The 17397-nt window shown below is 40.4% G+C and overlaps 1 protein-coding gene and 1 pseudogene across 1 annotated transcript in view, besides 1 other annotated feature; one reads left to right on the top strand and one right to left on the bottom strand.

Moving 5' to 3' along the window:
• Positions 1024 to 1083: an enhancer, noted in NCBI's record as "active region_28524". NCBI's record gives its function as "activates an Ori minimal core promoter by ATAC-STARR-seq in GM12878 lymphoblastoid cells {active_cell/tissue: GM12878}" and the evidence as "EXISTENCE:reporter gene assay evidence [ECO:0000049][PMID:35858748]".
• Positions 3797 to 4266, top strand: RPL21P85 (ribosomal protein L21 pseudogene 85; annotated as a pseudogene).
• SPIN1 (spindlin 1) overlaps positions 10424 to 17397 on the bottom strand; it is a 90251-nt gene continuing 83277 nt past the window's right edge. Inside the window, exon 6 of the mRNA NM_006717.3 lies at positions 10424 to 14040. Coding sequence (NP_006708.2) covers positions 13841 to 14040 — 200 coding nt within the window. The 3' untranslated portion in view covers positions 10424 to 13840. The remainder of the gene's footprint in view (positions 14041 to 17397) is intronic.

The raw sequence follows: 17397 nt of genomic DNA, 5'->3' as shown, positions 1-17397 counted from the left end.
ACTGGGAGGCCAGGCGCAGTGGCTCACAACTGCAATCCCAGCACTTTGGGAGGCCGAGGCGGGCAGATGACAAGGTCAGGAGTTCAAGACCAGGCTGGCCAATATGGTAAAACCCCGTCTCTACTGAAAATACAAAAATTAGCCGGGCGTGGTGGCATGTGCCTGTAATCTCAGCTACTCGGGAGGCTGAGGCAGAATTGCTTGAACCCGGGAGGCAGAGGTTGCAGTGAGCCGAGATCGTGCCACTGTACTCCAGCCTGGGCAACAGAGCAAGACTGTCTCAAAAAAAAAAAAAAAAAAAAAAAAAAGACTGGGGAATAACTTGTATGAGAGAAAATGGTCATGCCAGCCATCAGCTAATTAAGTTACATGATACCTAGCTAGTTGCTGACTCCCAACAAGCAACCTGAGGCTGGCCAACAGCTCTTTGCCCTGCAATCCTGTCTCCAAGAAGTGGTTAAAGTAGAAGCAGCCAATTAGACCCTGACTGGCCTTCCCTGCTACCACTCATTCTGCTACAACATTAAACCAGGGCAACCTCTGAGGCTATAAATCCAGCCTGGTCCATTAGGATTCAGATTTGGCTCTTCTTTCTGTACTGTGAGGCCCTTTTCTACAGTCCTGACCATCCACAACAGGAGCATAACCATGGAAAGGTCCAGCCTTCCGTTTATGACTCAATGGGCACCATTTCTCCCACTAGAAAGTAGCCTGAGGGGCAGCCAGGCAGCACAGGCTCCACGACAAGCAGATATCTTGACTTTCTGAGGTGTAAGAGTCATCCCTGCATCCAGCTGACAGGAAATTATCAGTTGAGAGCTGCATTTCTTCACCAGGGACTATAATTCTCATTGGGCACCGGGCCTAGACTACTTCTTGGATCTTGCAGAGGCTTCTGTAAGTGACACCAGCACCACTCATGCGACCTGTAACACCAATCATCACATCATAGGAAATGCTGTGCTTAACCAACTCAGCAGTCGGCCAGAGAACCACGATGGAGAGGGGTCCTGGGGTGCCTTGATCAGCACAGCTGGAGGTGCCCCTTAACCACAACCTGGGTCTCAGCATGTGAAAGCCTGACATGGAGACCGACCTAAAGATTGACTCTGCTGAACTTGAGAGGAACTTGCTCAGAGCATTTCTTCTAATGCTTAAAGGTACCTTATAGGCACTATATGAATTAACTTCCTCATTTTTTCAATTAGGTACTGTCATACGTTTCTTTTTCGGGAATTTTCTTCTCAAACTCATTCAAACCCAGAATGTTTTCACTAGATAGTACTTCCCAAACACTGAACTAGAACTTAATCTGAAAAAAATTCTTCATGACATGAGATTCTTAAAATTGTTCCTTTAAAAAAAAAAAAAAAAAGCACAAAATTATACTATCACAAGAATCCTCAATAAAACTACAACAATTTTACTTTAAGACATTCCGGTTTTTACAAAGTGCAAAGGCAGTTGATATTATGGTTAGTTATAAAAGGAACTTTAAAGTCCCATTTTAATAGTTTCTTTCCCAAAATTTTATGAACATTTTTGAAATCCATTAAATCCCACAATATGCCCATCGGAAAGATAAAGCTGGTATTTTTTCCATGGAAGTAGAGCTCAGAACATGAGATTTTAAGTTGGTGATTCACCCAGATCCTTCAAGACAGTGTCCAACCAGAATCACATCAGCACCTTGTTCCCCGTTCTAATTTGACACTGTAACTACAGCTATTTTTAAAGAGTAGAAAAAAAAAAACATAAAAATGATCTTAGGAAATTTTATAGTATAAAGACATAGGAACTAGGAAAGTTTCTGGATATTTTTCTGTGGAATGGGAAGGAACTTGAAACTTAACCTTTCAATTCATGATAAAACTATAGAACACTGTGCACATAAAACATAAGAAGTAACAGATACAATGCCTGACCAGCCAAAGGTCTTGACTGTAGCTAAATGAATCACGCTGGAACAAAAGTCCTGTGCATTTGTGTTGTTCTGGGGCAGATGCAGAAATGGCCTTGGTGGATTCCAAAGTATTAACATTCTGTCCGCTAATGCTCAGCTAGAATTATGACTGTAAACTGAGAACATGCTTCAATTTGTATTTTACTTTTTATTTTCTCTTCCTGAAAGCTATAGCAAAATGGCAATCTTTAGACTTAAGCTCCTCCATGGATCATCACAGAAGCACACAAGAACAAACGACTTCATCAGCTTGACGTTTCTAGTCCAAAGTCCAGATGTCATCGTTAGTTTTAAGACATAAACAGTGGAAAGTACCTAAACTAAGTGAGCAGCCGCGTGCGATGGCTCACGCCTGTAATCCCAGCACTTTGGGGGCTGAGACAGGTGTATCACTTGAGGTCAGTAGTTCGAGACCAGCTTGACCAACATGGTGAAACCCCGTCTCTACTAAAAATACAAAATTAGCCGGGCATGGGGGTGCATGCCTGTAATCCCAGCTACTCAGGAGGCTGAGAGTCAGGAGAATCGCTTAAAGGGAGGCGGAGACTGCAGTGAGCTGAGATTGCGCCACTGCACTCCAGCCTGGGCAACAAGAGTGAAACTCCGTCTCAAAAAAAAACAAACCCCCAAAAAAACTGAGCAATGGAAAGCTTATGACTAGTCACACTTACAATAGACACAAATGATTTATAGACAACAACATGTTAGTGGCTGGGCGCAGTGGCTCACACTTGTAATCCCAGCACTTTGGGAGGCCAAGGCGGGCGGATCACTTGAGGTTGGGAGTTCGAGACCAGCCTGACCAACATGGAGAAACCCCGTCTCTAATAAAAATACAAAATTAGCCGGGCGTGGTGGTGCATGCCTGTAATCCCAGCTACTCGGGAGGCTGAGGCAGGAGAATCACTTGAACCCAGGACGCAGAGGTTGCAGTGAGCCAGGATCGTGCTATTGCACTCCAGCCTGGGCAACAAGAGCGAAACTCTGTCTCAAAAAAAAGAAAAAAACATGTTAGTGATTCAAATTATGTTGCTAGTTTTATAGGCAATGTACTGTCACTGAATGTGACACTTCGCAAAACCAAATTAATCTTTCCAGAGTGTTTTAAAAAAATAGGAAACCATACTGTTATTCTAGATAAATCAGAAGTTCAAACATGTTAAGAAAATCATGCAAGAAAAGAAACTAAGGCACAGAGACATTTTAAAATAGAGAACAGAACAGACTACAAAATCTCTGCCTAAGGCTGATTCTTACCAGAATCTAAGTCCAACTGCCACCTGGCACAGTACTCCCTAAATCCCCCAAATCATAACCACCATATAAGTTCATTTACAGGCTTTTTTTTTTTTTTTTTTTTGAGACAGCTTCTCACTCCGTTGCAATGGTGCCACCTCGGCTCACTGCAACTTCCACCTCCCAGGTTCAGGCGATTCTCCTGCCTCAGCCTCCTAAGTAGCTGGGATTACAGGCACCTGCCACCATGCCTGGCTAATTTTTTTTGTACTTATAGTAGACACAGGGTTTCACCATGTTGCCCAGGTTGGTCTCCAAGTCCTGACTTCAAGTGATCCACCCGCCTTGGACTCCCAAAGTGCTGGGATTACAGGCGTGAGCCGCCGTGCCTGGCCTGACAAATTTTTATAATGTAACAGTGACCACTAATTTTAGGAGCCATTTCTGCTAACTGCATCTCTGAGGATAGGTGGTGGAACACCATGTCAATTTACATTTATCTAGGAAGAAAGAATTCTTCAACATGACAGTTTAAAAATTTGTAATTATTCCTTTTGGCCCGAACCACCATCTTCCAGTAATTTGCCAAAATTATGAACAAAAGGAAAGAAGAGAGGCACCTGATATATTTCCTCTAAACCTTTTAGAAAACCTGGAGTTGTCCCTTTGCCCATATATATGTGTATCTGTAAAGAAAGGTGATATTGTAGACATTAAGGGAATGGGTACTGTTCAAGAAGGAATGCCCACAGATGTTACCATGGCAAAACTGGAGCAGTCTATAATGTTACCCACATGCTGTTGGTATTGTTGTAAACAAGGTAAGGGCAAGATTCTTAAGACAATTAATGTGTGTTATGTATAGAGTATACTGAGCACTCTTAAGAGCCAGGACAGCTTCCTGAAATTCGTGAAGGAAAATGATTGGAAAAAAGGAGGAAGCCAGAGAAAGGTGTCTGGGTTCCACTAAACGCCAGCCTGCTCTACCCAGAGAAGCGCACTTTGTGAGAACCAATGGAAAGGAGCCTGGGCTGCTGGAACCTAGTCCCTATGAATTTATGGAATAATAGATGTTAAAAAATGATAATTAGATGGCAAAGAACTTTCTAAGGACAAAATTATTTATATCCACTTTATCCCATAAAATATTTTAGGTGGGTTATGAAGTTATTTATATATACCCACATTTTAAAAATATACTAGAAGAAAATACATACTTTAGCTACTATCTAAATAGCATTGAAACCAATTTAAGTTGGAACTGACTTGCTTATAAGTTACAATAAAAACTTGAAGACCGAGTGTGGGTGTCTCATGCCTCAAATCCCAGCACTTTGGGAGGCCGAGGTGGGAGGATGGCTCGAGGCCAGGAGTTCAAGACCAGCATGGGCAACATAGAGAGATCCTGTCTCTGAAAAATCAGCTGGCTGTGGCGGCACCTGTCTGTAGTCTAGCTACTTGGGAGGATCACTTGAGCCCAGGAGTTCAAGGTTACAGTAAGCTGTAACTGTACCACTGCACTCCAGCCTGGGACAAAAAGAGATCCTACCTCTTAACAAAAGTTGATAGATAAAACATGTGAAATTCCAGTCTAAAGAAGTTTAATTAAACCTTCACCTGCAGTTACATTTTCTTTTTTTGTTTTATTTTTGAGACAGGGTCTCCCTCTGTTGCTCAGGCTGGAGTGCAGTGGCGTGATCTCGGCTCACTGCAACCTCTGCCTCCCCGGGTTCAAGCAATTCTTGTGCCTCCGCCTCCTGAGTAGCTGGGATTAAAGGTACGTGCCACCACACCGAGATAATTTTTGTATTTTTAGTAGAGACGGGGTTTCACCATGTTGGCTAGGCTGGTTTCGAACTCTTGACCTCAGGTGATCTGCCCACCTCGGCCTCCCAAAGTGTGGGATTACAGGTGTCAGCCATGGCGCCCAGCCAACAGTTACATTTTCTAGACTAGAGGTCTAGAACGTCCCTTAAATTGCTAATCCTTTAGGAAGGCAGCCTACTACCTTCACTTTCTCAGGACCAAAATATGCAAGTTTTCTTGCCATACTATTGACACCACTCACACTCTCTGCTACGTCACAAAGCTCCACATGGAAGAACATAAAATGACCCACTTGCCTTTAGAAATCACTCCCGCAATCTTGATAGTTATTTCTTTTGAGCACACATTAAGAGAATGAGATTCTGTTGGAATTGATAAAGCAGCTAGCTTTACTTAGATTGTGAGGACCAATGTTATAAATCCATACCAGAAACTGAATTAGTGATGCAATGTCAAAAAAATCTTTTTTTTTTTTTTTTTGAGACAGAGCCTTGCTCTGTTGGCCAGGCTGGAGTGCAGTGGTGTGATCTCAGCTCACTGCAACCTCCATCTCCCGGGCTCAAGCAATTCTCCTGCCTCAGCCTCCCGAGTAGCTGGGATTACAGGTGTGTGCCACCACATCTGGCTATTTTTTTTGTATATTTAGTAGAGACGGGGTTTCACCATGTTGGCCAGGCTGGTCTCAAACTCCTGACCTCAGTAATCCGCCCGCCTGGGACTCCCAAAGTGCTGGGATTACAGGTGTGAGCCACCGCACCAGGCCGGAATGTCCAAAAATTCAAGGTGAATTTTAACATCTGGAAATTTCTCCCTTTAGAAACACAATCAACTTTTTAAACTTTTCCAAAGACCAACTATTTCAGGTTATATTTGAAAGAAAAAGACTGATTAAATACATCACGTATCTAAGGCCTAAAGGTAGAAACAAATACAATGATGGTTACTTTTCTGTAGTATTCAACAGATAAACTTTACTGGGCACAACTGTCCGTTTTAAAAGAATGCAGCTTAACTCTCTGCAGGAATACATTCTGAAAGCAGACCTGCTGTTTAAGTCACTACTCATCTAGCCATGAGCTTAGACTGCAAACTCCAGCACCATGTTTCACAAATGAACTAAGAAGACAATTTAGTGTTCATGAACACTAAGACAATGCAAAAGCAAACTTAAAACACAGATTTCTCCCTTCGAACTGGGCGCAGTGGCTCATGCCCACTGCACTTTGGGAGGCCAAGGCAGGTGGATCACCTGAGGTCAGGAATTTGAGACCAGCCTGGCCAACATGGTGAAACCCTGTTTCTATTAAAAATACAAAAATTAGCCGGGTGTGATGGCAAGCACTTGTAATCCCAGCTACTCGAGAGGCTGAAGCAGGAAAATAGCTTGAACCGAGGAGGTGGAGACTGCAGTGAGCCGAGATCACACCACTGCACTCCAGCATGGGTGACAGAGCGAGACTCCATCTCAAGAAAAAACAAACACACACAGATGTGTCACTTTATTCATAAAAGTTAGATGTATAGTCTTCTCAATCACAATAAAGTAGAAAATGTGAAACTTAACACTGCTTATTACAATTTTTATATACGCTGGAAGATGCTAGTGTTGTTAAAAAAATGTAACAACTAAAATCTTCCTAAAAACGAACATTATATAACAAGCAAAATCGACTGTGTGGAACTGAAAGCGTAATCTCAAACATCAAAAATAAAGCCAGCCGGGCATGGTTACTCACACCTGTAATCCCAGCACTTTGGGAGGCTGAGGCGGGAGGAACACTTGAGTCCAGAAGTTTAGGATGAGTCTGAGAAACACAGTGAGACGCCTTCTATGGAAAAAAAAAGAAAGAAAGAAAGAAAGAAAAAAACAAAGCAAAACATTGTAAGGCCTTAAGTGACACCCAATGATGACAGGCCGGCAGAACAGCGGCAAGCCCTGTGCCAGGCATAGGCCTGCACTGTGCTTACTTGTCTTTGACACACTGCTCTCCCCTACAGGACTGCTCTGAAAATGACCAGTTTTGTCCTTAGTAGCATCCATCAGATTTAGATTAAATTAAGAATCTAGTGGCTACTTTAATCTAGTGGTTAAAGCTACTTTACCATAGTTATTACAGAAAAACTGGAAGTAACATTTTGTTAAAACCAGGTCCCCAATAAATAAAACAAAGAGTAAACACACTACAGGATAAAGACTGACTTTAGGAAAAAGACCTACTGCTGATGTCATTTCTCTAACAGTCATCAGACTTTTCTATGAGAAGACCAGAGGCTCACACTTGTATACACGGTGTGCAGGTGCAGGGAAGACCAAGGAAAGCAGCTATCCAATTTTTTACAAAGCCACAGAAAGACAAGTTCGAGGAAAAAGCTTTAGAGTTATTTTCACGATCTGTATCTGAAGACAATTCACAATGCTGCCACTCAACCCTGGGTTGTTAACAACTGTTACTTATGTTAACATCAAGGTTTTTTTTTTTTTTTTTTTTTTTTTTTTGAGACAGAGTCTTGTACAGACTCTGTCGTCCAGGCTGGAGTGCAGTGGCACGATGTCAACTCATTGCAACCTCTGCCTCCGGGGTTCAAGCTATTCTTCTGCCTCAGCCTCCTGAGTAGCTGGGATCACAGGCGTGCGCCACCATACCCGGCTAATTTTTTTGTATTTTTAGTAGAGATGGGGTTTCACAATTTTGGCCAGGCTGGTCTCGAACTCCTGACCTTGTGATCCATCCACCTTGGCCTCCCAAAGTCCTGAGATTACAATAGGCATGAGCCACCGCGCCCAGCCCAACATAAAGGTTTTTAAAAGGCTTTCTGTCCTTTCACATTATAATCTGCTTCAGTAATTCCAACATAGAAACAGACAATTTTAAAGTTATGTATAATCTGCTTACCCTATTAAGGATTTTAGGTAGTTTGTGTGGTATATAAAGCTCTTAACTTTCCCTCCAGAAAGCATACACTGAAAATAATGAGAAAGAGGATGGTAAAAGCAGAGCCAGGAGTAAGCCTCCTCTCTCACTGAACAGTCAACGTAAAAAAACAAATGCACAGCAAGGCCCCGCACTTGTGTGTCACCTCAGAGCTGACAGGGGCCGACGCACCACTTGGTCCAGGGCCCTCACTTGAAAATTAAGCAGAAAGAATGCCAATGTCATGTTTAGGCAAACTTATGTGCCATGACATTATTAAAAAACCGTCTGCTACTTGGTTTACCAAAACTAATCATAAGGGCAGACGAAGACTCTAGGAATGGCTGGAGAAGTAACTTAAAGACTCAATGAATTCTCTCAACTCCACATGCTGCCTAAAACTTACCAGTATATGACACAGAACAAACTCATTACTATAAAAATTAAACATAAGATTGTAGGTTATGAGCAAAAGAAATCTAGGCTTTTTAAGTCTCCTGTATGGTTAAAAAAATTAGGTTTATGAAGATATTACTTTCATGATATATTCAAAGTGTCTTTAAAATATAGTTATCTGGCTGGGTGCCGTGACTCACGCCTATAATCTCAGCACTTTGGGAGGCTGAGAAGGGTGGATGGCTTGAGCCCAGGAGTTCGAGACCAGCCTTGGCAACATGGTTGAAACCCTGTCTCTACCAAAAATACAAAAATTAGCCAGTCTCATAACCCAGTCTCAAAATAAATAAGCAAATGAATAGATTTAAAAGTTAAAATAAAGTATCTATATTCTTGTGATGAAAAGTTATTAAAATTTCTTCAGCATACTTTCTCTCCAAAAAAGACATCATTATTTTTATTTTTTTAGTTATGGAAAAAAAATTTTTTTAAGTTCCGGGATACATGTGCAGAATGTGCAGGTTTGTTACATAAGTATATGCGTGCCATCGTGGAGACATCATTTATTTTTTAAGCACAAAAATAATTTTGGGTTATAATTCTTAGCATACAGAGACACAGATGCCTACATTCTAATGACTAATATAAAACCTTTTATTTGGCAATTTGGAAATAAACACTTTTTAGATATTAACTTATGAAATAAGGTTACAGAAAATTATTCATAGAAAATATTACACTATAGATAGATTACTCAAATCACTCCAATGAAGTAATTTAATTGAGGTGTTCATAAAGCAGCTCAGAGTCTGGGCACAAAATAGAGATCCGAGTCTTCATTCCCCTATAATCCTGCGTGAGATACTCAATCTCTGCCTCTTCCTCAAAAGACCATTAAGAACTAAACAAAATAGTGTGGAAAGTGCTTGGCAAGGTACTTATTAAGCATTTATGAATGCTTTATTAGTACCAAATGCTTTTGTCATCACAGAGTTTAATTGTACCAAGAGAAAAAACAAAAATTCTCCAACAGAGTGATGACTGCTTTAAATAGGAGAGTTGATTCATTAGTTTACAAATACTAGTTATCAAGTTTCAAACTTCAGACTAAACTTGCATTGTTATACTTTTGGGGCAATATTTACAGAGCTGTACCCATGACAGATAACACAGACAACGAATAATCTACCTTCAGCAAGGAAGGTCAGAAAACCCAGACTCAAGAGAGGCACCTGTGCTTCCCAATGGCTCATTTCCTCCTTGAACTGCAGCCTTCTTCCACCTAAGCCGGAGTAGACCCTGCCTTCAGTCCACCTCAGTAACCTCCATGGACTTGGAGCACAGGCACTGCACTGACACAAACCTAGAAGCCCAGCGTCCCAAAGCCCAAGTTTGCATTCATCCCTCACCAAGTATCAACCATTCTCCCAAAGGCAGGTAAATATCCCAGACTTAAGCATGAGATCCTTAGGCCAAAATGAACTGGGAAACATTAAAAAAAAAAATCTTATTAAAGCATGCCATAAATTCCACTTTTTACCTCACTGATTAAAATAATCAAGAAAGATAAAACATACATAGGTGTTAATATTAGGTTGGTGAAAAAGTAATTGCATTTTTTGCCATAAAAGCAGTGGCAAAACTGCTATTACTTTGCACCAGCCTATATTACTTTCATTTTTTTGTATCCTAGCATTGAGAAATAGTGATTTTTCACTATAGAATCCCATTGTTTATTATTTATGAGTAAAAGCATTATAAGAAATATTCAAAGCAAGAATACTTGTGAAAAGTATAAAATACCCATTATTTAATTATATTTAAAAGAATTTTTTTAAGTTTAAGATCTTGTAAGTTAAACTTTCTCAATGTCAAATTGCAAACTTCAATATTTAATATATGTGTGATATTGATGACTGCCTCCTCTTCTTTCAGGTATTATTGAATGTTATCAAATAAAAATTCTATTTCTTTCTATGCATATCTGACATTTACATGTGGTGAAAAGGTTACTTGGCCCAAAAAACTTTTCAGAATCAAGTTTAACACATCACATGTTGCTCATCAGCACAAACTTTACAGTCAGGAGTTGCACATAAAGGGTTTATTTTAAATGTTTTAAGGATAAGATAGAGTTACATCATAATTATAAAAATTACTTACAGAATTAACAGATTTATATTGTGTATACTTCTAAATGCAGAGAACAGGGAACTGTCTACACATTGTATAAAATAAAATTAAAATTAAAAATGAATTCAAGCTTGAAAGATGAGGTCATTTACCTAATTTTAAAATGTGAACACGAAGACCTCTGACCTATACACATTCATTCCAACTGCACTAATGATGGAAAAACACAAAGAGCGCAGCATTTCCAAGGAACCACAGACATTTCAACCATAATTATTTTGTTATAATAATTGTTCTGTTTTGTCTTTGGAGAACTTTCATTTTGTTAAGACAATCAGCTTAAGAGTGTTTTCAGGCACTACAATTTGTAACAATCGGAACAGTCTTCTAATGGGTCTACAGTGTTCAGAGATTGAAGCCCAATGCACTTCGTGGTTTGGCACATAAAACAATAAAAGAAATGAAATCTGGTTTAGAAGTAACTGTGATTTTTTTTTAAGAAAACACAGTCCCTTCAAATGCTGCATGACATTTACAACTGGAAAATCACCTTCTGTTGGCACTACATTTGCTTCACCAGTGCATTTTTATCCTAAAACCACTAAAACGGCACAGTAAGCAAATATACAGGAAACTGAAAACAAATAAAAATAAAGAAAACAAAAAAACCTAAATATCTTTAACATGCAATTTTAGTCAGTTACATTGAACATTCTACTTAGAATAGAGCATGCAAAAAAGGATGGTCTGCTTTTAAGATTTTTCTCTGAAGTTTTACGTGGCAGCCTGACATCACACACGCACGCACACACAATACAATAATACTAGAGCAGGTAAATGAGAAAGGCCGATAAATTTTATACATAGATTCATGTCTTGTATTGTCACAAGTCCCATGATACTTTTGGAAATTAATGTTGAATTCCTGGAACAAGGAACCAACATTCAGATACCAGAAAAATGCAAGCAATGCATGCAGATCTGACACATGAGCCTAAAATGAAGCCCAAGATACAAGGGCTTGGGAGCAGAATTAGTCATAGCGTCATTACATGTGGTGTAAGTCACCAAAAGAAAGACAGAATGGGGGAAAATGGGGAGAAAAAAAAACAAACCTTCCCTTTCCCTCAGCCCTAAAGGCAATAAATGAACAATGATTAAACTCATCGTCATCATCACCATCATCATGTTGCATTCATCTAGAAACTGGGAGACCATGTGGTATAAAAAAAGTCATTAAAGTTGCTTGCAGAAAAACCACAATGCAAGTCATTAAGTAATGCTAGAAATGTCTCAATTGACCCAACCCTCAAGATACTTCAAAATGTACTTTATTTTTCCACGCAAAGTTACCGAGCCAAGTTCTGCACAGTTGGTGCATGCTGGACACACTTGCAAACTCTTGCGCTGTAATGTCAGTCTGGACTCTGGGAGCCAGGCTCAGCTTTGAGATTTACATGCAGGGACTCTTAAGAGTCAACAGGAAAACACATAACAGATCTGTAGAATGACACCTGTTCACATACGAGAAGCACCTATGACTTGGGTATCACACTGCTTTCAGAAGCTTGTCCCTGGCTGCCCACAGTGAAGCACGAGGGACAGAGCGACTGCAGCTGTGGACAGAAAACTGAGGTACTGTGTTTACATGGTGAGTGGTCGTTACCATCCAACAGCACAAGGCACAAAAAATGGGCATCAAGCAAACCATGCATAACGAGGCCTGGAAACCATCAAGAACAGCCACAAAAGAGGTCACTCAGACCTCTGATTCAAACTTCTGGTGTTTGAGTGACAAGCATGCACGTTTAGGCTCTGCCCAAATATCAGGGAGGATTTCCAATCTCCACAAGAGACTGGTTTCACATATGGCCTTTCTCCTGGCTGTCAAACCACCAGGGTTCCTCCAAAACAAAATGAGAGCAGCTGTTTTGCTGATCAACCAATCACACTAGCAGTTCTATTTCAGTTTAAAACAACCTTGCAGGAATAAACCACATAAAGACTCCGTGGCTAAGGGCTGCTATTACTTACACCTACCAAGCGAACACAAACGGCTGGCTCTTCTATGGTAACGCTTCACTGGCATGCAAACCCCAAGGGGCCACTGAATGGAATGAATCCACATGAACAGCATACCTGGAGCAGGAACATGCACCCCACAAGAGGTGTCAGGAGACTAAGCTGCTGTTTGTCTAGACATTCTTTGTGAGGAAAAGCCAGGGGTAGGCAGGAAGGGGTGGGTTGAAAGTCTCTGACCATAATCATACATTAGCAATAATAGTAATAAAACTTTAAAAGTCCCAGAGAGCTTGTTAGAAGGCAACAATGCCACTCAAAACTTATACTTCCAATATAAAAGCATTGTATTCTTCCAGAAACTTAACCAAAAACACACAAACCAGTGATGGATTGTTGCCTTTTAAATCCATGTACTGAAATCCAGATTACTGACTTGTACACAATGGACCATATGTGCTGTCCAAAATACACCTACATTACACTGTGTGGAACAAGAACCTGGGCTTTGCAAAAAAGAATTTATGATTAAAATGTAACCCCCCCCCAAAAAAAAATGAAGCTTAGAATTAAAGGTAGCCTTTTACCCAGATTGTTCACCAGATTGTAAAATTCTAATATGGGTCATTAACTGTTCACAAATAATTCATATTTGGACTTATGGTTTAAGGGCTCCAGATTGAAAAGGTGCTCTGAACTTCTGATTTTTTTTTTTTAAACAAGCTGAATGTTCCCATATGGTTCCTGTGCCCAAAGTTTACTTTTAAATAAAGAGCAGTGATATCATATCCATGACTGACTTGGGTAAAGCACTCCTGTTAAACTCAAGAAAATTATGTCACCCCCATCCTAATCCACAAAGACTGCCAGTGGGGTGTGTGTGGTGTGTGGTGTGTGTGTGTACACTTGTATCTGTGTGTATATATTATATATGTATACACACATATAGATATAGGTAGATACAGATACATACATCTCAAAAAAGGCAATAACGAAAACATCAAACTATGCTTGCATTGTGGCGGCAGAATAAGAGAGTTAGGGTGAGGGGGAAAATGGTTAAGATCTATTACAATTTTAAATGACTATGATACTAGCTTAACTTTTACCAAACTTGCCTGTAACTCCCCTCGAAATAGACAGACTTCTTTTAAAAGAAAGGGGTTCTCCTTACACAAAATGCTTTGTGTTCACATCAATCTGTACTATTCAGAACAAAACCAGTTCTGCTGGCAGAGATTGTGGGTTCGCAGGGACATTTAAGCTTTCATTAAACTGGAAAGCAATCAAGTCTTTATGTCTACAAATAATACATTTCATAGTTCCACAAATTTGGCAGAGTTTGTGATGACATCTAGGATGTTTTCACCAAATCGTAGACATAAATATGGAAATCATCATCAAACTTGATGAAATAGACGGAGGGCTTGGCTTCTACTTGATGAATGACCATGCCAGTCCTTTTCGAGCCATCTTCTTTGGCATATTCCACTTGTTTGCCTACCAGGCTGTCCACAACTTCTCCTGGTTCCCTTTCTGCTGGAGGTGAATCATCTATATTAAAAAAAAAAAAAAAAAAAAAAAGAGAGAGAGAGAAAATTTCTAAGTCAATTTTTAGATATAAATCAACTCACATATTTATTTTCATAACTTAAAAAAAATTTTAATAGCCTGAATTCATGATTATCTAGACCAGGAGTCAGCAAACGTTTTCGTAAAAGACAAGACAGTAAATATTTCAGGCTTAGGGTCATATGGTCTCTGTCCCAACTGCTGAACTCTGCCACTGTAGCACAAAAGCAGCCACTGATGATATGTATATAAACAGATGTGGCTGTGTTCCAATAATAAAACTTTTTTTCATAGTTTGCCGACCTCCATCTAGATATATGAACAATTTTGAAAATCATAACCAAAAATTTCTTTGGCCCATGTTTAATCTGTAGCTGCACTTAAATGAAAATAAGTTTGAGTGGCTTTGAAATATAATTTGAAAGCAGACAATTCCTACAGGGATTACTGAGAATATGGCACACATTTAAAATGCCTAAGTACCATTGGTTTTACTCTGTGAATCCTTAAAGCTTCTTCCCCCTCAACTTCACTGCATTTCACATCATCTTCCTAACTCAGTTCCAAAATTTAAGCTTTCCATGCTTTAAAAATTGGTGCTGAATGAACTTCAGCCCAGGACAACTACAAGGGAATCTCTGAGGATGGCACAGGCATCTGTACTGTTTAAAAGGTCCCCAAGATTAATGTACTGCCTCTAGCCTCTAAGAAAACACACAGAAACAGCAAACCATCACCACCAACAACAAAAAAACAAAGTAAAAGAAAAAAAAGAGAGGGGGTTTGCTAGGCAATTATAATTCTATTTTAAGAAACTCTGCATGGGTTCTGAAAAACTCGAAGCTCTTTTCCTCGTAGTAGCAGGTGGCCTTCAGGTAGGGCAACCAGAGGATCCAGCTACATAAGACAGTCCATGTTATCCTGGCACAATTGGTAGTAATGTCATTTTACTCTCACAGGTATCCTGGTGTAGACCATATAATGTACATGTATTAATAGTAGTCTGCCTCTTCGGTTACAATAAATTCTCTCACTGAATGACAATCCAAAAACTGCTACTGTGATCTCTGGTACTAAGAGTCACAAGAAATAAAAATAAAACATCTGAGCATAATCAATTCTTTTAAAAGAAATAAAGAAATATAAGCTGAACTCTTTTCTTTAAAAATTCTCTTCCCTTAAGCAGTATCATCATACTGCCATATTTTTGTGGCACGTTTACAAAAGAATTACAAATACACAATCGCACGTGAATTTTATAGTAACTCAGCTAACCAAGGGAGTCATGTAGAGGCCTGTTTTACCATCAGAGCGGGTACGCGACCAGGACCCTTTCAGAAATCATTAGATCAGAGCATCACCACTGTTTCTAAAGGTAATAAGCTTCCATAGCGCGTGCACACACACACACACACAAGTTTGGAGAATTAAAGGAGAGGGAAGATCAAAAAATGGCTAGGAAAAGCGATGCAGAATTGCAGACGCCCTTGCATTTCCTATGATTAGGTTAACAGGACTTGCTCTATTTATCTATAAAAAAATGTTCAAGTCACCTCATACAGGTTGGAGAAATGCTTTTTAAAGAAATGTTCTCATGACAAATTCCTGAGTATGTAAGTTGCATTACCCCTTTATAACAAATGTACACAATTTTTTTTTTCTTTTTGAGACGGAGTCTTGCTCTTCTCGCCCAGGCTGGAGTGCAGTGGTGCAATCTCGACTCGCTGCAACTTCTGCCTCCCGGGTTCAAGTGATTCTTCTGCTTCAGCCTCCCGAGTAGCTGGGACTACAGGCGCCCTCCACCACACTTGGCTAATTTTTTTATTTTTAGTAGAGACGGGGTTTCACCATATTGACCAGGCTGACCTCGAACTCCTGACCTCAGGTGATCCGCCCGCCTCGGCCTCCCAAAGTGCTGGGATTACAGGCGTGAGCCACCATGCCCAGCCCAAAAATTTTAAAAATATGTATTGAAGAAGTAGAAATTCAAGGCCAGATGAGGAAATTAGTATGTTAACTAACTTATTCATAGGAAGAATTTTTTTAAAAAAAGAAATAAAGATGACTGACGCATGGCTAATGTATGGAGAGGGCCTACCAGTTACATCTGTCCAAGGCCAGAGATTCATGTGTTTGAAGAAAGGCCACTGAGTAGTTTTTAAAGGAACAAGCTTATCCAAAAGTGAAATTAAGAAAACAATTCAATTCATATGCACAATGGCATCAAAAAGAATAAAATCCTTAGAAGTAAATTTAATAAAAGAAATGTGGAGCCGGACGCAGTGGCTCACGCCTTTAATCCCAGCACTTTGCGAGGCCAAGGTGAGAGACACAAGGTCAGGAGATCGAGACCATCCTGGCCAACACAGTGAAACTCTGTCTCTACTAAAAATACAAAAATTAGATGGGCGTGGTGGCGTGTGCCTGTAATCCCAGCTACTCGGGAGGCTGAGGTAGACGAATTGCCTGAACCTGGGAGTTGGAGGTTGTAGTGAGCCAAGATCGTGCCACTGCTCACCAGCCTGGCAACAGAGCAAGACTCCATCTCAAAAAATAAATAAATAAAAAGTGGCCAGGCGCGGCGGCTCACCTGAGGTCAGGAGATCGAGACCAGCCTGGTCAACATGGTGAAACGCCATCTCTACTAAAATACAAAAATGAGCTAGGCGAGGTGGCATGTGCCTGTAACCCCAGCTACCCGGGAGGCTGAGGCAGGAGAATCGCTGGAACCTGAGAGGCAGAGGCTGCAGTGAGCTGAGATCAAGCCATGGATTAGAAGACTTATAAAGTCTTGTTAACATTGTTAAGAGGGCAATACTCTTCAAAACTGATCTACAAATTCAACATAGTCCCTGTCAGAATCCCAGGTGACTTCTTTGTTCTGACAAGTTGATTCTAAAATTTATATGAAATTGCAAGGGACCCAGAATAGTCAAAACACTCCTGAAAAAGAAAGGAGGGGCCGGGGTGCAGTGGCTTACACCTGTAATCCCAGCACTTTGGAAGACTGAGGTGGGCAGATCACTTCACCCCAGGAGTTTGAGACCAGCCTGGCCAATATGGCAAAACCCCATCTCTACTAAAAATACGAAAGTTAGCCCAATGTGGTGGCGTATGCCTGTAATCCCAGTTCCTTGGGAGGCGGAGGTTGCAATGAGCCGAGATCGTGCCACTATACTCCAGCCTGAGCAACAGAGTGCGACTGTCTCAAAAAAAGGAGGAAAAAAAAAAGCAGGACTCAAACTTCTTGATCTCAAAATTTACCACAAAGCAATGTAATCAAGACAATGCAGCACTGGCACAGCAACAGACATACAAACTAATGCAACAGAATTGAGA

This window comes from Homo sapiens, chromosome 9, assembly GCF_000001405.40.
Source record: "Homo sapiens chromosome 9, GRCh38.p14 Primary Assembly".
NCBI classification, from domain to species: Eukaryota; Metazoa; Chordata; class Mammalia; order Primates; family Hominidae; genus Homo; species Homo sapiens.
The sequence above is the reverse complement of the archived record's forward strand: the minus strand, read 5'-3'. Positions and strand labels throughout refer to the sequence as shown.